Consider the following 18943-nt stretch of genomic DNA (forward strand, 5'->3'; position numbering starts at 1 on the left):
GAAGTCCGGAAAGGCTTATAAAAATTAGTTACATGTTTTATGCCAGCATTGAATAATCTAAAACATATAATCAAATCATTCACAATTACAGCCAAACCTATATTGTGTCTGGGAATCACCATAAAGAATACACAAGACCTTATGTATAAGGTCACCATATGATTTCTCTCCTAAGCTGAGAGAGAAAGGGAGGGCTCATGGGAAGGGACATGAGGATGATAAGGAAACTGGGACCGTCTCAAGCAAATTGAGATGTACGATCTCTCTACTCATGAAAACAATTGTAAAATTTCACTAGAGCTCCTAAAAGAAGCTCCAAATAAGAAATATTCTACATTTTTTGATAGGATAGGCAACTACTAAATGAATCTGTAAGTTTAATGCAATCATAATAGAAATTTATTCAGAAACTTGATTAACTTATTCTAAAATATATATGCCCTCCAATGTCTTCCAGGCTGCAAATTCTGTGTCTGTGCATTTGTAATCAGTCCATCAGAAGGACCAGACATCTGTAGCTGACTTTCCCATTTCTCATCTGGTCACTTTGGCCCCACAGGATAGCTACCTGTGACCAGAGCTGACACCTTCCTCCCTTAATCCACCAGCTGTACAGAAAAAGTGGCAGCCAGAGGCTCATATTTGTCGGTCTCTCCTTTCCTCCAAGAATCAGTCATACAAGTCTTTCTGAATTAGTTGCACAGCCACTCATTCGAGGTAGAGTTACAGAGTAGTCAGGTGGATTTTCTATCTGAAAGCAGAATGCAAACTTCCAAATGCTTGATGGAAGAACTGGCTGCTTACCTGAAACTGTGAACATCTCAAAAGCAGAAACTTAAAACTGCGTCACACAGAGGAATCACCACACAAAACATTCCCTAAAGAAGGAAGCAGAAGGAACAGGGATGGGGGAGAACAGAGAAGGGCAAGGAGAAGACAGAAAATGAGAGAAAGGGGAGGAGACAGGGGAGGCAGTGGGAAGAACACAAAGAGTCATCTTGGGAGGTGAAGGCCTTCTCATCCTAACAGCTCCCTGCAGTCCCAGCCACAGTCCCGGGCTATGGAGGCAGACACACCAACTCCACCACTCGATGCTGGTGTGGCTGCGGACAATTTTCCCAATGCCTCCTGGCCTCTCTTTCCCCTTCTGTTGGATGGAAGAGTCCAGACAAGGGCCATATCAATTTGGGACTGAGGGTTGGCATGGATATCTGCAGAAGATTTCAGTAAAGGAAGGGGTCACCCAGCAGGTACTCCCAGTCCCAGCATACTCTGCAGCCCAACGGTGAATTCAAAGTCCCTCTGGGGACACCACATGGCCTGCCAGACTTGGGCTCCACAGTGGGCCTCTTGGGCAGTGTCAGCAAGATGCAGCTCCATCTTTCCAGCTTCATGAACTCCAAGGGACCTCCCACTCTCAAGACATGATTGTGATGGTTAATTTTATGTGTCACTGAACTGGGCTAAGAGGTGCCCAGGTGGCTGGTAAAACATTATTTTGGGGTGTGTCTGTGTGGATGTTTCTGAAAGAGATTAGCATCTTGTTATTTTATTATTTTATTTTAATGAGACAGAGTCTCGGTCGGTCGTCCAGGCTGGAGTGCAATGGCGCAATTTTGGCTCATTGAAACCTCTGCCTCCCAGCTTCAAGCAATTCTCCTGCCTCAGTCTCCCAAGTAGCTGGGATTACAAGTGTGCACCACCACACCCAGCTAATTTTTTTGTATTTTTAGTAGAGACTGGGTTTTAACATGTTGGCCAGCTGATCTTGAATTTGACCTCAAGTGATTCACCCGCCTCGGCATCCCAAAGTGCTGGGATTACAGGCATGAGCCACGGTGCCAGCCTGGAAGAGATGAGTATCTGAATCAGCAGATAGTAGAGATTACCCTCCCCAATGTTGGTGGCTGTCATCGAATCCCCAGGGCCTGAATAGAACAGAAAGTTGGGAAAAGGGTGAATTCTCTTTCTCTTCCGGAGCTGGGATATCCATCTTCTCCTTGCCCTTGGACATCTAAAGTGCTCCTGGTTCTCTGGCCTTGGGTCTCTCAGACTTACACCAGCAGCTCCCCTAGTTCTGAGGCCTTGAGACTGAATTATACCACCAGGTTTGCGGGTTCTGTAGCCTCCAGATGGCAGACAGTGGACCTTCTCAGCCTCTATAACTGCATGTTCCAATTCCCTGAATAAATCTGAAAAAATCTCCTCCTATCTATCTACCCTCTTACCTCCCTATCTATGTATCTATCTGCTATGGGTTCTGTTTCTCTGGAAAACCATGATTAATATCATGATCAAGCAACTCTTAGTTGTGGGCATTCACAGAACGAGAGCTGTCATTTTTCCCTCTGCAATTATCCTGCAAATAAAACATCTGAACAACCGCCATGCAAGTGCTAAGAGATGTAATCGATCAAATTCAGGAGGAACATTAAAGCTGTCAACTCAAGAGTGTCTATTCTCTTGGCACCTGCCACAATGAAATGGCCGACTGTGAAGATGGACTGTCATGAAAAGGTCACAGATGACAAATGCCTCGTGTCTGCCTTTCTTTGTGAGGCCTGGATCACGTAGCATGTGGAGCTGCTCCATTAGTGGGAAAGAAGACGAGCACTACAGCCCACTCCAAAGTTAAAAGGCACCTCACAAAAGCCCTGTAACTAGTGGGCTATCACTGTCACAAGCCACATTTCACAGATGCAGGAGCCAAGGCACGCTCACCCTGCATTGTGAAACCATGGGAAATAACCGCCATTGTTTGGTGAAAACATTCTTTGACAGTTCTGATCAGGGCATGTGGTCAGGAGGTGGTGTGACAGTGACACAGAACAGAGAGCTTCTGCTTCCCGTGCTGGGTCTGCCACTGCCTGGCTACATAAAGGAACCTGGGCGAAGTCACTAACATCTCTGAGACTCAGTTTCCACATCCATAAAACAGGGACGTTGATGGTTCTTACTTGTGGTGGAAGTTGGGAAGGGTAAAGCATGTAATGAACAAGGCACAGGTCAGTATAGCAGCAAGAATGCAGAGTCTGAAGACCAGTCGTGACCCTGGAGTCACTTCACCTCCCTGTACCTCAAAGCCCTTATCTCTCATAGAGCAATGACAGTGGCACTTCTGTTACAGGCTGTGTGAGGATTAGAGTGGATAGATGGAAAGCACTTAGCTCTCAGTACACCTCACTAGCATATATATGGACTATGGACATACATATAGGTACTCATATGTAGAACTCACATGTGGATGGCTCATATGTACACACACACATACATACATATACCTCTATCGTATGCATATATTAATATATATACATACAGTGTCTACCAAGGTGCCTGGCACTAAAACGCAAACAAAGGAAGTAGGCACCATTCTTATTAAAATGCCATCACATTTTAGGAAGGGAGGTAAGTTCTTCAATCAGTGCATAAGACAAAAACGAAATCTAAATCACCCTTGGAAACACCTTGGAGAGCAACAACTGGCCAGTTCTTCCTCCAGTGCTGGAGCAGATGGCTGTGTCTTCAGCCCAGGACCAGGTGAAGGGTCTAGCTTGTGCATGTGGGCTGGGAGGTAGGACAAAGGTCTGCCCCAAATGTAAACCATAGACATGAGCTCAGGGCAGGGGAGGGTGCCAAGACAGGCTCAGGGCATTGCAGACCTCCAGCTCCCTTCACCTCCCCATCCCTTGAAGGCCTCTGCTCACCTCCCAGGCTCACCTGCCGGGCTCACCTGCCTGGTTCAGCTGGTCTTTACTCTTGCAGCGTGTTCTTCTTGGTCAGTGTCTTATGTCTTGCTCCTTTTTCCTTTTCTTTTTTTTTTTTTTTTTGCCAAATGCCTCCTGTGGAACTTCCTTAAGTATCTATGAATGTGTGGCAAGTAGACTAGGATGGGTAAGCTGGAAAGACCCAGGTTTCCTATCCAAATGGACGTGGCTTTGAGTTGCAAGAGTCACAACCCATTAGTTGGATGGTCCTGAACAAGTCACACAGCCCCCAGTGATGCTGTCCCTCATGTGTCAACTGGATAAGGTGGCCCAGTACACAAGGATTCCCAAGGCAGGCTGTCATTGTGTGTGCCCTCTGCATCATGGAGATCCTCAGATGTCTCTTCCCCATCTGCCTTGGATCCCTTGTTCATGTTATGGAAGAAGTGATAACTAGTATGTTACATGGGACCAGGATGCCAGTGTGAACTAGGAGACACTGCACAGAGGGCTGAGGCAGACCAGGTCCCATCACATGCCTGGTGGTGGACCCTGGGCTGGGCACTAACCTTTTTGAGCTTAGAATGGACTTCAAGATGCCATTCTTGCAGCAATGTGATGAGTATGGAGATTCACGCTCATGAAGAGCATCAGCTGTAAGACTGGTATCTGACAGGAATTTGATAGAGACTAGACACAGTTTTTCTTTTAGTATCACTGTGTCATATTAGTACAGTGTACTAAGCCTATTTAATTATACAAAGAGCCCTCTTTTATACACTATGATGAAAGCAGAGGCCTGGGAGAGTAATAAACTTCTAAAGGACCATGGGTGACAAAGAAAATGAATGAGGTTAAGATATTTTCAGTAATAATGCTGAGTACTGGAATTAAAAACTAAAGAATAATTGAAAGAAACTAAGAAAGAAAAGTGGTAATGTGAGATATAAAGCACTGAAAATGTCTAAATAAAACAAAAATCCTGAACAGGGCAAAAACAAAGAGAAAAAAACTAAAAGGCAAAGAAAACAATATTCTGTACTTGCCACCAAGAGAAAATGTAAATGGTTGTGAAGATAAGTAATCTGAAACTTAAGTTACAGAAACTTTAAATTATTAGGTGCCTTAAAGGAATATGATTATAGGGCCTGAGTCATGTGACAGGCAGCTGTAACCTAAGCGGCTGAACTTTTGTTTCTCTGATTACAGATTAGCCTTCTTCCCAGACTACATTATTTTGTAAAATGCTGTAAATGACTAGAGGGCGCCAGAAAAGACCCCTTCCCTCTGCACTGTTGATCTTCCTTACAGATTAACTTCCCTCTTCTCTCACACACAGACTTCATGGCTATCACATTTGCCAAGACGGAATGTTAAATATACTCTTTTAAATTGGAAAGGAAACGAAAACAAGCCATACAGAAAAGAAAACAAACCGTAACTAATTAAACTGTTGTAACTTATAAACTAGCCTTGTGTAGAAAATGTTGTAATCCTGTTAAATCTCTTTATTTTATTCTTATACAAGCAAGACCTTAACTTTTAGCTTTAGCGTGCTGACCCCATTTCTCTGCGGTCTGTATTTCCCAAACGGCAATTCCCAGTTTTTCTCTTGGATAAACTCTTGAAAACTGGGTTCTGATTCTTTCAATTATTTCAGGATGACATGGTTTTAAAAAAAGAAAAAGAAAAAACTACAGGAAGGAATGTGCTTAGTTCCTTCTATTAAAATGACTAGTTTTGGCCAAAAAGGAGATGGGTCTGCTGGTTCAGGATCCGTAAGGGATTGGAGCTGGGCTTTAGGAAGAGGTTGCTCCCTGCTGCAAGGAGAATTAATTGGAAGGAAGAGGGAACAAACAGGAAAGAGTAGGGAGCCTGCTGCATGTATCTATGCAAAAATGGTGCTAGGCAAGGCTGGAAACAGAGGAGATGGATTAGAAATAATTATGAGAGGCCGGGCATGGTGGCTCACGCCTATAATCCCAGCACTTTGGGAGGCCGAGGCGGGCGGATCACGAGGTCAGGAGATCCAGACCATCCTGGCTAATGCGGTGAAACCCTGTCTCTACTAAAAATACAAAAAATTAGCCGGGAGTAGTAGCGGGCGCCTGTAGTCCCAGCTACTTGGGAGGCTGAGGCAGGAGAATGGCGTGAACCCGGGAGGCAGAGCTTGCAGTGAGCCAGGATTGTGCCACTGCACTCCAGCCTGGGTGACAGAGCGAGACTCTGTCTCCAAAAAAAAAAAAAAAAAAAAAAAAAAAGAAATAATTATGAGACAGAGCAGGAGGAGACGAGGTAGGGGCCAGGGAGGGGTTATGGAGGGTGTTGAGGTCCAGCCTTGAGCCACTGGGTGGGAGCGGTGCGGTCTGCACCTGATGTCCCCATGGGTTACCATCTCTGCATCACCTTCTCACTCAGACATTCATCCTGTGACTCTGCTCCAAGGGTGCTGGTGAGATGGCCCTTAGCTTTCTCAGCCTGGCCTTTGAGCAGGTTCCTCCACGGGGCTGCTCCCCCATCCACTGGCCATGACCCAGCACTCCAGTAAGGCAGCCTTGTCACAGGGCTTCAACCCTCTGGGTTCCCTCTGTGCACTGTGGCCTCCAGCACAGTCCAGGATACCCATTCCCTCTGCCAAACCAAACCCCAGCTTTCCCTTCACAAGCAGCTCTTCTCCGACAACAGTCACCTTCACTCTGGCGGGTTTCACCTCTTACAGAGGATCACAAAGCAGCCGGTACTCAGGGAAATGCTCCCTCTACCCCCGAGTATGGCTACTTCCTCCCTGTGCCAGGAGCTCAATGTGCACAGGACCCGACCTCTCTCCAGCTCTCTCCTCTTCTTGCTGTAAACTGGGAATAAACTGGGACAGCTTGGCTTACCTCTCTCGCTTCTCTTTGGGACCCCAACTTCTGCTCTGCTTCCCTAGGGGTAGGCTGCCCCCCACAAGGAACCCCCTAGTGACACTGTGATTGCTTGATGGAGTTTGTTTAATACTCAGGTAGTTTAGGAAGCCCAGTGGCTCTCACATTGATGTATATCTCTTGAATTAGCCTTTAACAATAGGTAAGATGACATTTTGCCTCTATCTGCCTAATCTTTGTCTTGCTGTTCAATTTCATATAGAACCTGGGTGAGAATAGGGTTGCCACTTCCTGGATCCCTTAAGACATCAACAACCTGGACACACCTGATGGGAGACACTGAGCCCAGAGCAGTTTCTATGGCTCTTGGCGAGATCGTGCATTCGTGTTCTGAGAAATACACCGGCACTAAAATAAAAACAAGCAAAAAAGCTAGAAAAAGGAGACAGGTGGAAGGTAAGAACAAAAACAGCAGCTCTAAAGCATGGCTTCATACATTCATTCACTGAACATACTCCTGTTGGGAATCCACCCTTTGCAGGGTGCTGGGGAAGGCAGACAGACACTCAGGCTGCGGTCACACAGCGTCTACTCTTAAGCAGCACCTTTGCAGAGGAGACCCTGCCTCCTCTCCTACCTACAGTCCACCCTGCTGCCAGCCTACTTCACCTGTAAGGTCACATTATCTAATTTCTTTCCTTAATAGCACTGATGACAGTCTATCATTTTAAGTGTTTATGATCCATTTCCCCCAACTAGAACGGGCTCGCCTCTACTGGAGAGCAGGGACCAGGGCTGCCTCAGTCACTGCTGCAACCCCAGAGTTAACTGACACAGCGCCTGGGACACTGTTGCCTCCCCAAAATACTTGTGGAACAAATTAACCATGTGATAGGTGCTATGGTAAGGAAGAGTTGGAAGTGGGGTGGAATGAGTGGGAGAATCTACGGTGTTCGGGTAAGGCTTCTTGGAAGGGGAGACATCCAAGAGCTGAGGGAACACCTCAGGACAGCAAGGACACAAGTTATTTATCCAGGTAAATAGAGGTGGAAAAGTAATTCCACAAAGACAGAAGAATACAGATTAAAGCATCCTAGGAGACTGTGTGGTGTGTGCTAGAACATCACGTATGAAATGGGGCTGGGCCAGGCACAGTGCCTCACGCCTGTAATCCCAGCACTTTGGGAAGCTGAGGTGGGCGGATCACCTGAAGTCAGGAGTTTGAGACCAATCTGGCCAACATGGTGAAACCACATGTCTACTAAAAATACAAAAATTAGCAGGTGTGATGGTGGGTGCCTGTAATCCCAGCTACTCGGAAGGGTGAGGCAGAAGAATCACTTGAACCCAGGAGGCGGAGGTTGCAGTGAGCCGAGATCACACCACTGCACTCCAGCCTGGGTGACAGAGTAAGACTCCATTTCAAAAAAACCAAAACCAAACAAACAAAAAAAAATGGGGCTGAAGGGAGAGCCTGGTGAGTTTGTGGGAACATGGAGGAGAGTGTGAGAGAGAAAAAGAATGTGATGGAGGTGAAATGGCAGGTGCACACGCCCCAGGATAGAGCCAGGCACAAATACAGCAAGTGACTCAGCCAGTGGAGGCAGCACCCGAGGTGAAGCCTGAAGGATCCGGTGAGATCCCCAGACTGAGAAGTGGAGGGAGAGGGTTCCAAACAGAATGCACAGGGGAAAGGCCCAGGGGGAGGGTCTTCCAACTCTTTCTTACCTTAGCACCTGAGTGAGTGAGCGGTTGGGTGGAGATGGATGGCACAGCCCCAAGGGCTCTGTGTGCCTGCAAATGTGTCAGCTATCAGAGCAGCCCCGCCATGTGCAGAGAGAAACAGCTGGGTGAAGCAGATGTACTGACCTTTTCCACCAGGTCTTCAGAGGCCTGTTCCTCACAGAGGTGAATTTTGTCTTCGATGCACTTCTTCAGAAGCTCTCCCTTGCTTTTACTCTTGGACCGTGACTTTCTCACCTTGGACTGTTGCTGGAGAGGGGTTGGGGAAGACGTGGGTAAGAAGGCAATCACCAGCAAGTCCATGCAGCTCCCCCGAGGGCTTTGCAGGTCAAGAGAAGTTTCTGCAGCTCCCAGAACTGCAAAACTCTGCCTTAGGCCAGAGAGGGGAGGAGAGAGGTATGTTCTTCTGGAAGGAGCTCAGTTTCAGAGCCTTTGATCTTCACACAATCTGGTGGGCTCCTCCCACCAAAGGGAGCAGAGGGAGCCTGCTGGGCAGAACCTCAGCTCTGCAGTCAGAGAGCAGACCCAAGGCGTGTCCACCTCCTAACTAGCCACGGGACCTCAGACCTGTCAGCCTCTCTGAGAAGGGGACGCTATGAATGAGGTCCCTGTTCTGTTCTTGCAATGCTTCCATGACAGCGGAGAAAACAGTCTGAAAACATGGAAACTAAATAAGGACACTAGGAGCAGAGCCACGTTGGCGGACAGGACCTGGAAGCCCGGGGTATAGGCTGGGGCTGGGAGGGGATAGCCCTAGAGAGGGCCAGGCAGGGAGCCCATCAGGCACATCTCTGCCCAACTCCCAGGCAGTGATGTCAAGCCGGTAGCCTGAAACTGGCCTTGGGAGGATTTACACCATGGAAATGGGCAAATCCTACAAGTCAGGATTCCCCTCCCCACCTTCCCTCTCCCCTGAGAACTTTCCCAGCACAGGTCTGGTCAGGGCCCAGGCCACAGGGAGCCTTGAGGTCATGTTGGAACTTGGATCCCAGCTCAGAGGGCCACAGAAAGGGCTGAAGGAAGAGGGTGGTGAATCTGACTTGCACATCTCTTTAGAGTTTGCAAGTGCCTTTGAAACTCATGTCCGTGAATGGTCTGGGAGCCCTGGGGGCCACCAGCAGATGAGGTCAAACGTAGACACTACCTGTTTTGTGGGCCTAGATCAAAGAGAAGTATGTGGTGAAGAAATGCAGGGGTTCCCTGGTGGTGACACAACGGTGGGTGAGAACGGCCAAGAGATGGGGAATGCACTAAGCATCCACTAACATTGCTCCACCTGGCCCCGTATACCCTCATTACACCCATTTTACAGATGAAAACATGAAGATTAAAACAACAATTTTATCCCCAGGCCTTGGTGCTTAGGAAACTGAGAGCAGGCTCTCCCACCACCTTCTCTGCCGCTATCTCGGGACTGAGCAAGCGAAGGGAGCTGCGGCTCCATCCGTGCAAAAGCCTGACCGTGCTGGCCCAGCCTTCCCTCTGGAGAATGTGGAGCGAGCACCTTCGCGAAAAGGAAGATGACATCTGCCTCCTCTGAGGCAGTGGCCACAGCCATTTCCATCTGAAAACCAAGCACCTTGGGTGACTCTGAAGGCAGAAACTTCACTCCTGCCGGGACTCACCAGCTTCAAGGCAGGGGAACCAGCGGCTTATGGACTCCCTCCCCTCGCTTCGGTGAAGTGAAAATTATTTTCCCCCATTGTTCAAAAATATTTAAAATTTTTGATAATTTACTCCTTACTCTTATTCTGTATCTCCCACATCCTTGTAAGAACAGAAGTAGGGAAAAAAACAACAGTACTTAAAAAAAAAATTAAAAGAATGTCAAAGATTCCAAGTTGTTTCTGCATCCACTGGTTTACATTCAGAAAGGATATGTCTGAGTTTTTTTCTTTCTCTAAAGGAAAAGAAGTGAGTTTAAAGTCAGGAAACACCAGCTCCCAGCCCAGTTCTCTACCTCCTATAGGGCCACTCACTTTTCCTCTGCTGGGCTGTTTTCTCATCTGTAAAATGGGACACCATATTACCTCTTAGCACTGCTGTGAACTTCAGGTGAGATCATGTAAGCTTCAGTAATTTTAATATGTTTTCAGTCTCAACTATTATTACTTTAAGAGAAGCCCCGATGTTTTGCACACATCTGGTGCTTGGCTGGTGGGATGTTTAAGCCAACAAAATTTACTGTGCACCTACTACGCACTTAGCACCCTTGAGTGGTGAATGGGCCGGGGAGCTTATTTTTAGTGGAAGCCCAGACAAAGGGGAAGTCAAGGAACCAGCACATTTCAGATAATGATAAAGAAAATAATGAAACCCAGCATGTGATAAAGAATGCCTAGGGAGAGGGTAATTTTAGACAGGTGCTCAGGGAAGGCTTCCTAGTGGAGGTGGCATTTGAGCTGAGACCTCAATGGCCTGCAAAGCATATATGTGGCAGAGAAAACAGAAGTTCGAAGGCCTTATCTTATGTTGGGAGCCCCAGAAGCGGAGCCTGAGGCAGGGATTAGGTGCAGGTGGTTTCCTGAAGGAGGTCTCTCTAGGATCAACCTGTTGGGGAACAAGGGAACAGGACAGGAAAGGGAAGAGCCAAGCAAGGCTGTGGTCTCAGGTAAAGTTGAGCCTAAACTGGTCCCTGGGGGCTTTGGAGCAAAAACTGTACCAAAGAGTTGTCTGCCCTCGGGCACATAATAGCTGCTCATTAAAAGGCAGCTACCAGTCATCATCCTTTAAGACCCTGTGCAAGAGCCCCTCTTTCCCTGACCCACCTGAGTTGAGATGAGCATCCCTCCTCTATGCCATATAGAAAGGCCTTTTGTACCCAGAGTCAGTCATTAGCTGTGGCTGGAGGAGGGGGCAGGAGAGACAGAGTAATATCTCAGGCCAGGCAGCTTCCCTCAGGAGATTGTGGCTGCGCAAGGCTGACACAGCTGCTGGTGGATGGTGCAACAGCCCAGGCAACAGGATCAGGGCACAGCACCAGCAGTGTCCACTATAGACTTTAAAGTTGGGACAGCCCTGGAGATTCCTGGAATAGCTGGACACCAATGCAGCCAGAGAGGAGAGGATAGGGGAGCATGAGGTGAGATGGGCTCAGGCTGGGGAAGAGGCCAGACCCTGTAGGGCCAGCAGCTGGGAGACGGCCCTGCTTCTGTAATCGGCCACTGACAGGTCCATCCTACCTGCAGCTCAGGGGCAGCCACGGCCTGGTCCAGCTTCACGAACTCTGCTTCTCGCCACGCAGTCTGAAATTGCTGCAGCAGAACTCGGGCCCGGATCTTGGGGAGGGCCAAGCTCCTGTCCATCTGAGCAAAGCAGCCATGGACCTCCTGCCTCATCCTGAGCAGCTCCTCTTCAGACAGGGAGAAGACTGAGGAGCAGAGCTTCCTGGGAGGAAGAACAGAGACACACTCTTAACACAGAGAAAGCCTGGGGGCTGGGCTGGGGTGAAGAAGCCAGAGATGCAAAGCTCATTCCTCATATCCATGTCTGCAGAAAAAGCACTGGCTCCTTAATCATGCATTCCTGCCACAGGCATTCCTTGAGCACCTAATGCATGTCGTGCTGCATAGGACATTGTATTGGAGCTAGGAATGAGAGCTGAATGAGGCCAGGCTGTGAGGGTGCCTTTGAGGAGGCAACAGGCCTTCCAGTGCCCACGACCTTGCAATTAACCTGGTCTCACTTCAGAAACAGACGTGTAAACAAAGCACTGTCTGTGGAGCCTGGCCAGCAGCATTCTCTATGTAGGACCAATGGACAGAGGAGAGACACACAAAACTCAGCTCAGGGAGGTCAGGGAAATGAGAGTCCCTTATGACTGGTTCCAAAGGGTAATGACTGACAGCTGTCATTCAGTGAAAATCGATTCCATGCTGGGAACCATGCTGAGTGACTTAGTGTTATGGGTTGAATTGTGGCTCCCAAAAAGATATATTCAAGTCCTAACCTGGGACCTGTGAATGTTGGTTTATTTGGAAATAGGGTATTTACAAATGTAATTAAGAAGTGAGCTAAGATGAGGCCATATTGGAGCACAGTGGGCCCTTAATGCAATATAACTGGTGTCCTTATAAGAAAAGAGACAAACACACAGAGAGGCCATCTGACATGGAGGCAGAGATTGGGGTGAGACGTCTACAAGCCAATGAATGCCAAGGATTGCCAGCAACACCAGCAGCTAAGAAAAGGTATGGAACAGATTCTCCCCTGGTGCCTTCAGAGGGAGCATGGTTCTGCCAATGCCTTGATCTTGGACTTCCTACCTTCAGAACAGTGGGAGAATATATTTCTGTTGTTTTAAGCCACCAGTTTGTGGTACTTTGTTATGGTAGTGTTAAAAAACAAATGCAATGACATACATCATTGCTGTTCCTTACACCAAATTACAGACAAGGAAATGGATGAACAGTCCCTCTTCCTTTCCAGCAAGGCCCACAGCCCACTCTAATGGAGAGAATGGCCATACAATTGCTTTCTCATCCTCAAGGGGGCTGGTTCTGGCCCACAAGATGTAAGAGGAAATCTGCTCAGAAAGTCTGGACAGAATTATTCGTTGAACAAAGATTAGCTGTAGATGTGTTTGAATGTTCTGGTAATGTTCTGTCAATGCAGCCAGCATTGACCGATGCTTTAAAATTCAGAGTTATCAGCAGAACACCCAACGTGGTTGGCCAGAGTCAGGTTTACCATACCCAGATCTCAGTGTGGGAATGTGGGGCTGTGGATCTGCTAGAAAGGTCTTTCGTGGAAAGAGAATGAGACCTTCAGAGACCACGGGGGCCCTCTGCTGACAACACTCTGAGGCCTGACCCCCAGGTCATGTGACACCCGTCTTGGGTTCCTCACTTCATGGGGCCCAACGATTTTTAAAGCAACCTTTGGAAACTGCAGCAGCCCCCTTGCACCTTCCCTTGTGCAAGGCCTTTGCCCCGCTGTTTGCTGATTACGCCGAATCCAAAGTGAAAGCAACTCTGAGATGACTCTCAGTCATTATTCCTGCCACTTTCAAACCACATCGGCCCTGAGCACTCTTGTCTTAATCCTCTGTTACGTAAGTGCCAAGAGAATACAGAAATACAGGAGGCGAGATCTTTGCCCTGAAGGAGTTTGAAATCAAGACAGGAACTTCCGAAAGAAGGCTCAAAGACACACTTTCTCTTGCAAAGATATTCCTCATTAATTCCTACTTTAGCCAACCAGTTTTATAGTAACCCTATCTTGGTTGAAATTGGAAAGCTTCTAAAAATGTGTTTCAAATCTATTGTGCAAAACCATTTTTGCATAATGCCTCGGAAATAAAGGCTGCAACCTTTTAGAATCTTAAATAAGCAAAGTATATGAGCAGACTCACATTGCGTACACTGTGAGTCGATCCTCTTTAACCCTTGGAAAAATCATACACTTCTCTGATAGCCAAGTGAGAGTTCTCTTTTTCCCATTAAATGGCTAAATCAGCAGTTGCTTTAGTAACACTCCCTGCAAAACGAATCCAAACGAAGTTGAAGAAAATGACCAGCTGGTAATAGGAATGCCAAAGTTAATTCACTTGCTACGAAGAGTCCAAAGCCAGTTTGAACATGAGAAGAGAATTTTCTGGAATGTAGGCTAAGCTGAATAAATACTGTTGAGGGCAAATCATGGGAATAAGAAATGACATTTAAGGATCTGATTTTTATGGACTAAGAGAAGACAGAATCTTGTTTTCCTTGTCAAGAAAGCAAAAGCTAACAAGGATTAAAAAATAAATGAGGCCAGAATCACAGAAGAGAGAGATGGGAAAGGGCCAAAGGTCACTTAACGCAAACCAAGATAGTATCAATCTTTGCAAACACCTGGGGACCTATTTTCCTGGTAGCAAGGTCGGATCCTGGGGATGAAAACTGTGTAGGAAAGGAAAGGACATTAAATCATGGAGGCCAGCAAGATTCTAGGAGATAACTTCTACAAGGGAGGAGGGAAATTGCAGACAGATCCTATGTCCATTAAAGCATCCAAGATGAGCCCAGGCTCTTACATAAACATTGTCTTCACATTTAAACTACTTGATAGTGCCATGTACTGCCAAAATCACCTAAATGATTTGATTTAGTTTTTGTGGTCTTCATTTTACAAGTGGGAAAGCTGAGGCCCAGAGAGGTTAAACAAGTTGCACAAACTTAAGTGGTGGTCCTGGGTCTTTTGGTCTACATTGCCCATGTCTCATTCTACATTGGCTAGGTTAGAGGCCCCTCCAGTTTCCAATCTGTTGCCAGCCCCAAACAACCACCAAAAGCTCTGTTGGTCTCTATTACAGCACAAAAGGCTCCCTTCCTGGGCTAGGCCAAATCCCAGCAGGCACAAAGAGCTGGCAAATGTTTCAGGGAAGTAAAGAACTGTGGGCACTGGCCCCTCTGGAATATGACTCCGACTTGTCTTCATTGTTTCCACCACTCTCCCATGTCTTTAAAAACTTACTTGTGAAATTTATCTTGGGAGGCTGAGGCGGGAGGATTGCCTAAGCCCAGGAGTTCGAGACCAGCCTGGGCAACAGGGTGAGACCCCGTCTCTACAAAAAATAAATATTAAAAATAAACATATCCATTATTTTCTAGTTACTGCAGCAGGAGTGTTAGGTGTGGTCCACTGCATCCTACTCAGAAGTGGAAGTCATTACATGGCTCTTGAATTAATAATAAAGATACATAGCCCGAGAAATGGACCAGGGATGAAAGGGCCAGGTGAAAAGATGATGCAGTGTGGTGGAAGAACTAACACGAAGGTCAAGATCATGAGCAGCCTTGATGCCTGGTGAAACTAGCAGGGCCTGGAATGGCCTAACCGCAAGCTCCCCTTCCCCCTCTGCTCCTGTGGATCATGTCCCCTCCCCAGGGGACATTTCTTATTAGGGGAACCAGCACATTCCCATTTATCCCTGAGTAGCTCCCTGGAGTTATTAACCCCAGGGAATTATTCAGACAAGGCAATCACATTTTCCCCTGGAAGCCAGGGGCCACCCATCCTCTTGTTACTACAAACCCTATGGCCCTGGTTCTGCACTCTGCTCAATCCTTGTAGGGTCCTGCGTGACATTCGAGGTCCTCCCCCCGGGGCGTTGAGTTTATATGACTAATTAACGCTGGTAATCTCATCTGTCTGGGGCCAGGTGTCTCATGCTTGGCCATCCCCACAACCACAGGGCAGGAATCTCCCTGGCATCAACGGGATGGGGAGGGGTGATTACGACCCGCAAAGGCACTCACATGAAGATCAGGTGCTCCCAGCGTCGCAGCTCTGCCTGCTCCTCTGTCACGGCCTCAGGAGCGTCATCCTTCAGTCTCTGCCTCACGCTCTGGACACCCTCCTGGTCCCTGTCCCTCTCCTCCCCCTCCAGCTGCTCGGCCCGTGCAGCCATCTCCTTGCCGTGCTCCTCCAGGATCTGCTGCAGGAAGAGCCAGGGCACCCCACGCTTGAGCAGCTCCTGGGTCATGGCTGAGTTCTGCAGGCGCCGCAGCTCGTCGGTGGCCTTTTCAAACAGCGAAAGGGTCAGGGTCCTGAGATCGTCCAGGGCGGCCTGGTCCAGACGCTCCTGCAGCTCCTCCAGGGTGGCACCGTGCTCCTCCATCAGGCTCCTCTTCTGGTGCAGGTACTGGCCGGCATCCTCAACCGTTCGGAAGGCCTCGCCGACGGACGCCTGCTCCCTACGCTGCTCCCTGTGCTGGAGTTTCAGAAAAGAAAATTAAGTGGGGGTGGGGCTTGGCGGGTACAGTCCTTTGGCTGAAACACTTTGTTGCAGGAAGCACAGAATGTTTATAGCCTTTTCCCCAACAATCTCACATTTGGAAGTTATTCTGGTTTTTTGTTTGCTTGTTTGTTTTTTGAGATTGAATCTTGCTCTGTTGCCCAGGCTGGAGTGCAATGGTGCGATCTCGGCTCACTGCAATCTCCACCTCCTGGGTTCAAGCGATTCTTGTGCCTCAAGACACCCAAGTAGCTGCAATTACGGGCACGTGCGCCATGATGCCAGGCTAACTTTTTAAAAAACTAATTTATTTTATTTATTTATTTTTTTTATTTTTTTTTTGAGACAGGGTCTCCTTCTGTCGCCCAGGCTGGAGTGCAGTGGCACTATCTTGGCTCATTGCAACCTCCACCTCCCAGGTTCAAGTGATTCTGCTGCCTCTGCCTCCCCAGTAGCTGGGATTACAGGTGTGTACCACCACACCCAGATAATTTTTGTATTTTTTATAGAGTTGGGGTTTCACCATGTTGGCTGAGCTCCTCTTGAACTCCTGACCTCAAGTGATCTACCCACCTCGGCCTCCTAAACTGCTGGTAGTACAGCTGTGAACCATTGTGCCAGGTCTAGAAAGTTACTGTTTAAAAAAAATACGGTAGAATCCCTATGTGTTCACCATTCACTGAACATGTATTTGCCGAGTAGGTAAAGCCCAGGAGACAGACCGCCTGGGTTCCAGTCCTGGCTCCTCTACTCACAAGCTGAGTGACCCAAAGCAGGTATTTTACCCTCTCTGCGCCTCCATTTCCCTATCTGTAAAATGGGGATAATAATAGGACCTCCCTTTCAGAAGAGTTGTGAAGATTATGCGAGTTACTTAATACACATACATCTCTTAGAAAAGTGCCTGACATAGAGTAGTTTACGCCAATGAACATCTGTTAGTGTTATTACTATGTGCTAGGCACACAGGATCTGCAAGTTGTAATATTATAAAGGGGGAATCAAAAAGCTAAGATCATTGAGAGACAACTTAAATGAGGGGGTCAGCAAAGCTTTCAAGGAAGAAGATCTAAGTGAGACCTAAGGAAGGAGGTCTCATCTGAATCAGGTTAAGAAATGGGGAAAGAACCTGCCTGGGAGAAAAAGCAGTTGGTGCAAAGGCCCCGTGGTGGGAAAAAAATTGAGATGCATAAAGATGTCCATTATGGTGTTCTTTATAACAGTGGGTCCACAGATAGTCTCGGTTCTATTTGGAGAGAACATAAGATGCTCTTCCAAATTAAGAACTCAATAAATATTAGCACCAACCATTATCATTAGTCACTCAAACCAGCACTCCTATTCCCTTGCCCAGGCAGACATTACTAGTCTACCATAACCCATGTTCATGGGTCCTGGTAACCAGAGAGAATCAATTCATTCATTCTACAAATATGTATTGAGCACCTACCAGGTGTCAGGCAGTGTTCTCAACAGTGGGGATGCAACGTAAGTTTTTGCCTTCGTGGACCTACATCCTAATTCTGGGCCACTTGTAATGTTTATCAAAAGTAGCTGCAAGAAATAATATTCACAGAAGACTGCCAGAATCTCCTATAGGATGTGGAGTCTATCCTTCTTTCTAGACACTTACCTTGGATCAGGCAAGACAGTAAGGAAATGGAGCCCTGGGCCCCACTGTTTCCATCCCTTAACCAGTGGCTCAGAGATGAATGGGGTGATGCTCAAAGGTGGCAAAGATGGGGTATGCATCAGTGATCAAGGCCAGAATCATGGCTTTCTGTTGGGTCCCAAACTTGGTAGTAAAGAGCAGAGTTTCTATTGATCAAATTTGAAAGTTATTCTTCATCCCCTCCCTGCAAATGGTGTCAACCAACTACTTGCGTGTCACTCTGCATGTCCCATACATTCCCTGAATCTGTCCTTATCCCCTGTACTCAGGGCTCTGTGTCAGTTTAGGCCTGCATCCGCTCGCACCCGGCCAAGTACCAGAGCCTCCCATGGGGTTTGTATTCCCAGGTTCCTCAACTCCATCTGACATGGTGCTCACCTCAGCTTCCTAAATCACAGATCTGATGTCTCTCTCACCTCCGGAAGACCCTTCAACATTCCCCACTATCCTTGGATGGAAGGTAACCCCTTAGCACGGCACACCATGCCCCCATTGACTTGCTGCTGCATTCCCTTCCAGGCCCTACCCTCGTCCCTCTGCACACTCCAGCCTCATCATATTCTTAGAGTCCCCAAATACATGCCATGCGTGCCACTTACTAGATATTTGACCTTGACCATACACACACACACACACACACACACACACACACACACACACAAACCCAGTGGTATCTCCCTCATAGGGTTAATATACAGATTAAACAAGATATCTTATATAACACACTTAGCACAGTGCTAAGTAAGCAGCCAATAAATGTTAGCACCTACCATCATCATTAGTCACTCAAACCAGCACTCCTAATTCCCTTGCCCATGCAGACATTACTAGTCTATTGTGACCCTCTGCTGTGCTTGGGCTGGATAAGAATTGTAGCATCCTGCTGAACACAGCATTCCAAAAAGTCGCTACCAATCAACAGTAGATGGCACATCATGGTGCCTGCCCAGCTGCCCTTCTGATCCTAGTTCACCAATGGCAATGTCTGGCACAGTACCTGGCACTTGATGGGTATCAGAAAGTGCCTATGCAAAGAATAAATAGCATCATGCCTTATATACCTTTTGTAGCAACTCTCGTCTTCTCTTAGTTATTAATTTTTGGTGGAGCTTTTTCTTTTCCTGCTTTAAGTCATTGTCCAACTTCTGCTTGATTGAAAAGACTTCTGTCTGAGCCCGCTCCAATAGCATTTCCATTTGGTCTTCATCCAGGTACCCTGCTCTAGATGGAAAGGATGTAA

The 18943-nt window shown here is 47.4% G+C and overlaps 1 protein-coding gene across 7 annotated transcripts in view, besides 2 other annotated features; it reads right to left on the reverse strand.

The window, feature by feature from the left end:
- EVC2 (EvC ciliary complex subunit 2) overlaps window positions 1–18943 on the reverse strand; it is a 180538-nt gene that overhangs the window by 77974 nt on the left and 83621 nt on the right. For all 7 annotated transcript variants that reach the window (XM_047449611.1, NM_001166136.2, XM_017007736.2 and 4 more), the window contains 4 exons: window positions 18765–18924; window positions 15553–16007; window positions 11494–11698; window positions 8438–8560 (listed from right to left, as the gene is read on the reverse strand). In XM_047449611.1, coding sequence (XP_047305567.1) covers window positions 8438–8560; window positions 11494–11698; window positions 15553–16007; window positions 18765–18924 — 943 coding nt within the window. The remainder of the gene's footprint in view (window positions 1–8437; window positions 8561–11493; window positions 11699–15552; window positions 16008–18764; window positions 18925–18943) is intronic.
- Window positions 1654–1831: a silencer, noted in NCBI's record as "fragment chr4:5610365-5610542 (GRCh37/hg19 assembly coordinates)". NCBI's record gives its function as "represses an EF-1alpha promoter that drives an FKBP-Casp9 reporter gene in an ReSE screen in phorbol 12-myristate 13-acetate-treated (for megakaryocytic differentiation) K562 erythroleukemia cells {active_cell/tissue: K562(+PMA)}" and the evidence as "EXISTENCE:reporter gene assay evidence [ECO:0000049][PMID:32094911]".
- Window positions 4668–5169: an enhancer, noted in NCBI's record as "NANOG hESC enhancer chr4:5613379-5613880 (GRCh37/hg19 assembly coordinates)". NCBI's record gives its function as "activates a minimal SCP1, AML or CMV promoter by ChIP-STARR-seq in naive H9 embryonic stem cells {active_cell/tissue: H9 hESC(naive)}" and the evidence as "EXISTENCE:reporter gene assay evidence [ECO:0000049][PMID:30033119]".

The sequence above is a fragment of the Homo sapiens genome, chromosome 4 (assembly GCF_000001405.40).
Source record: "Homo sapiens chromosome 4, GRCh38.p14 Primary Assembly".
NCBI lineage: Eukaryota > Metazoa > Chordata > Mammalia > Primates > Hominidae > Homo > Homo sapiens.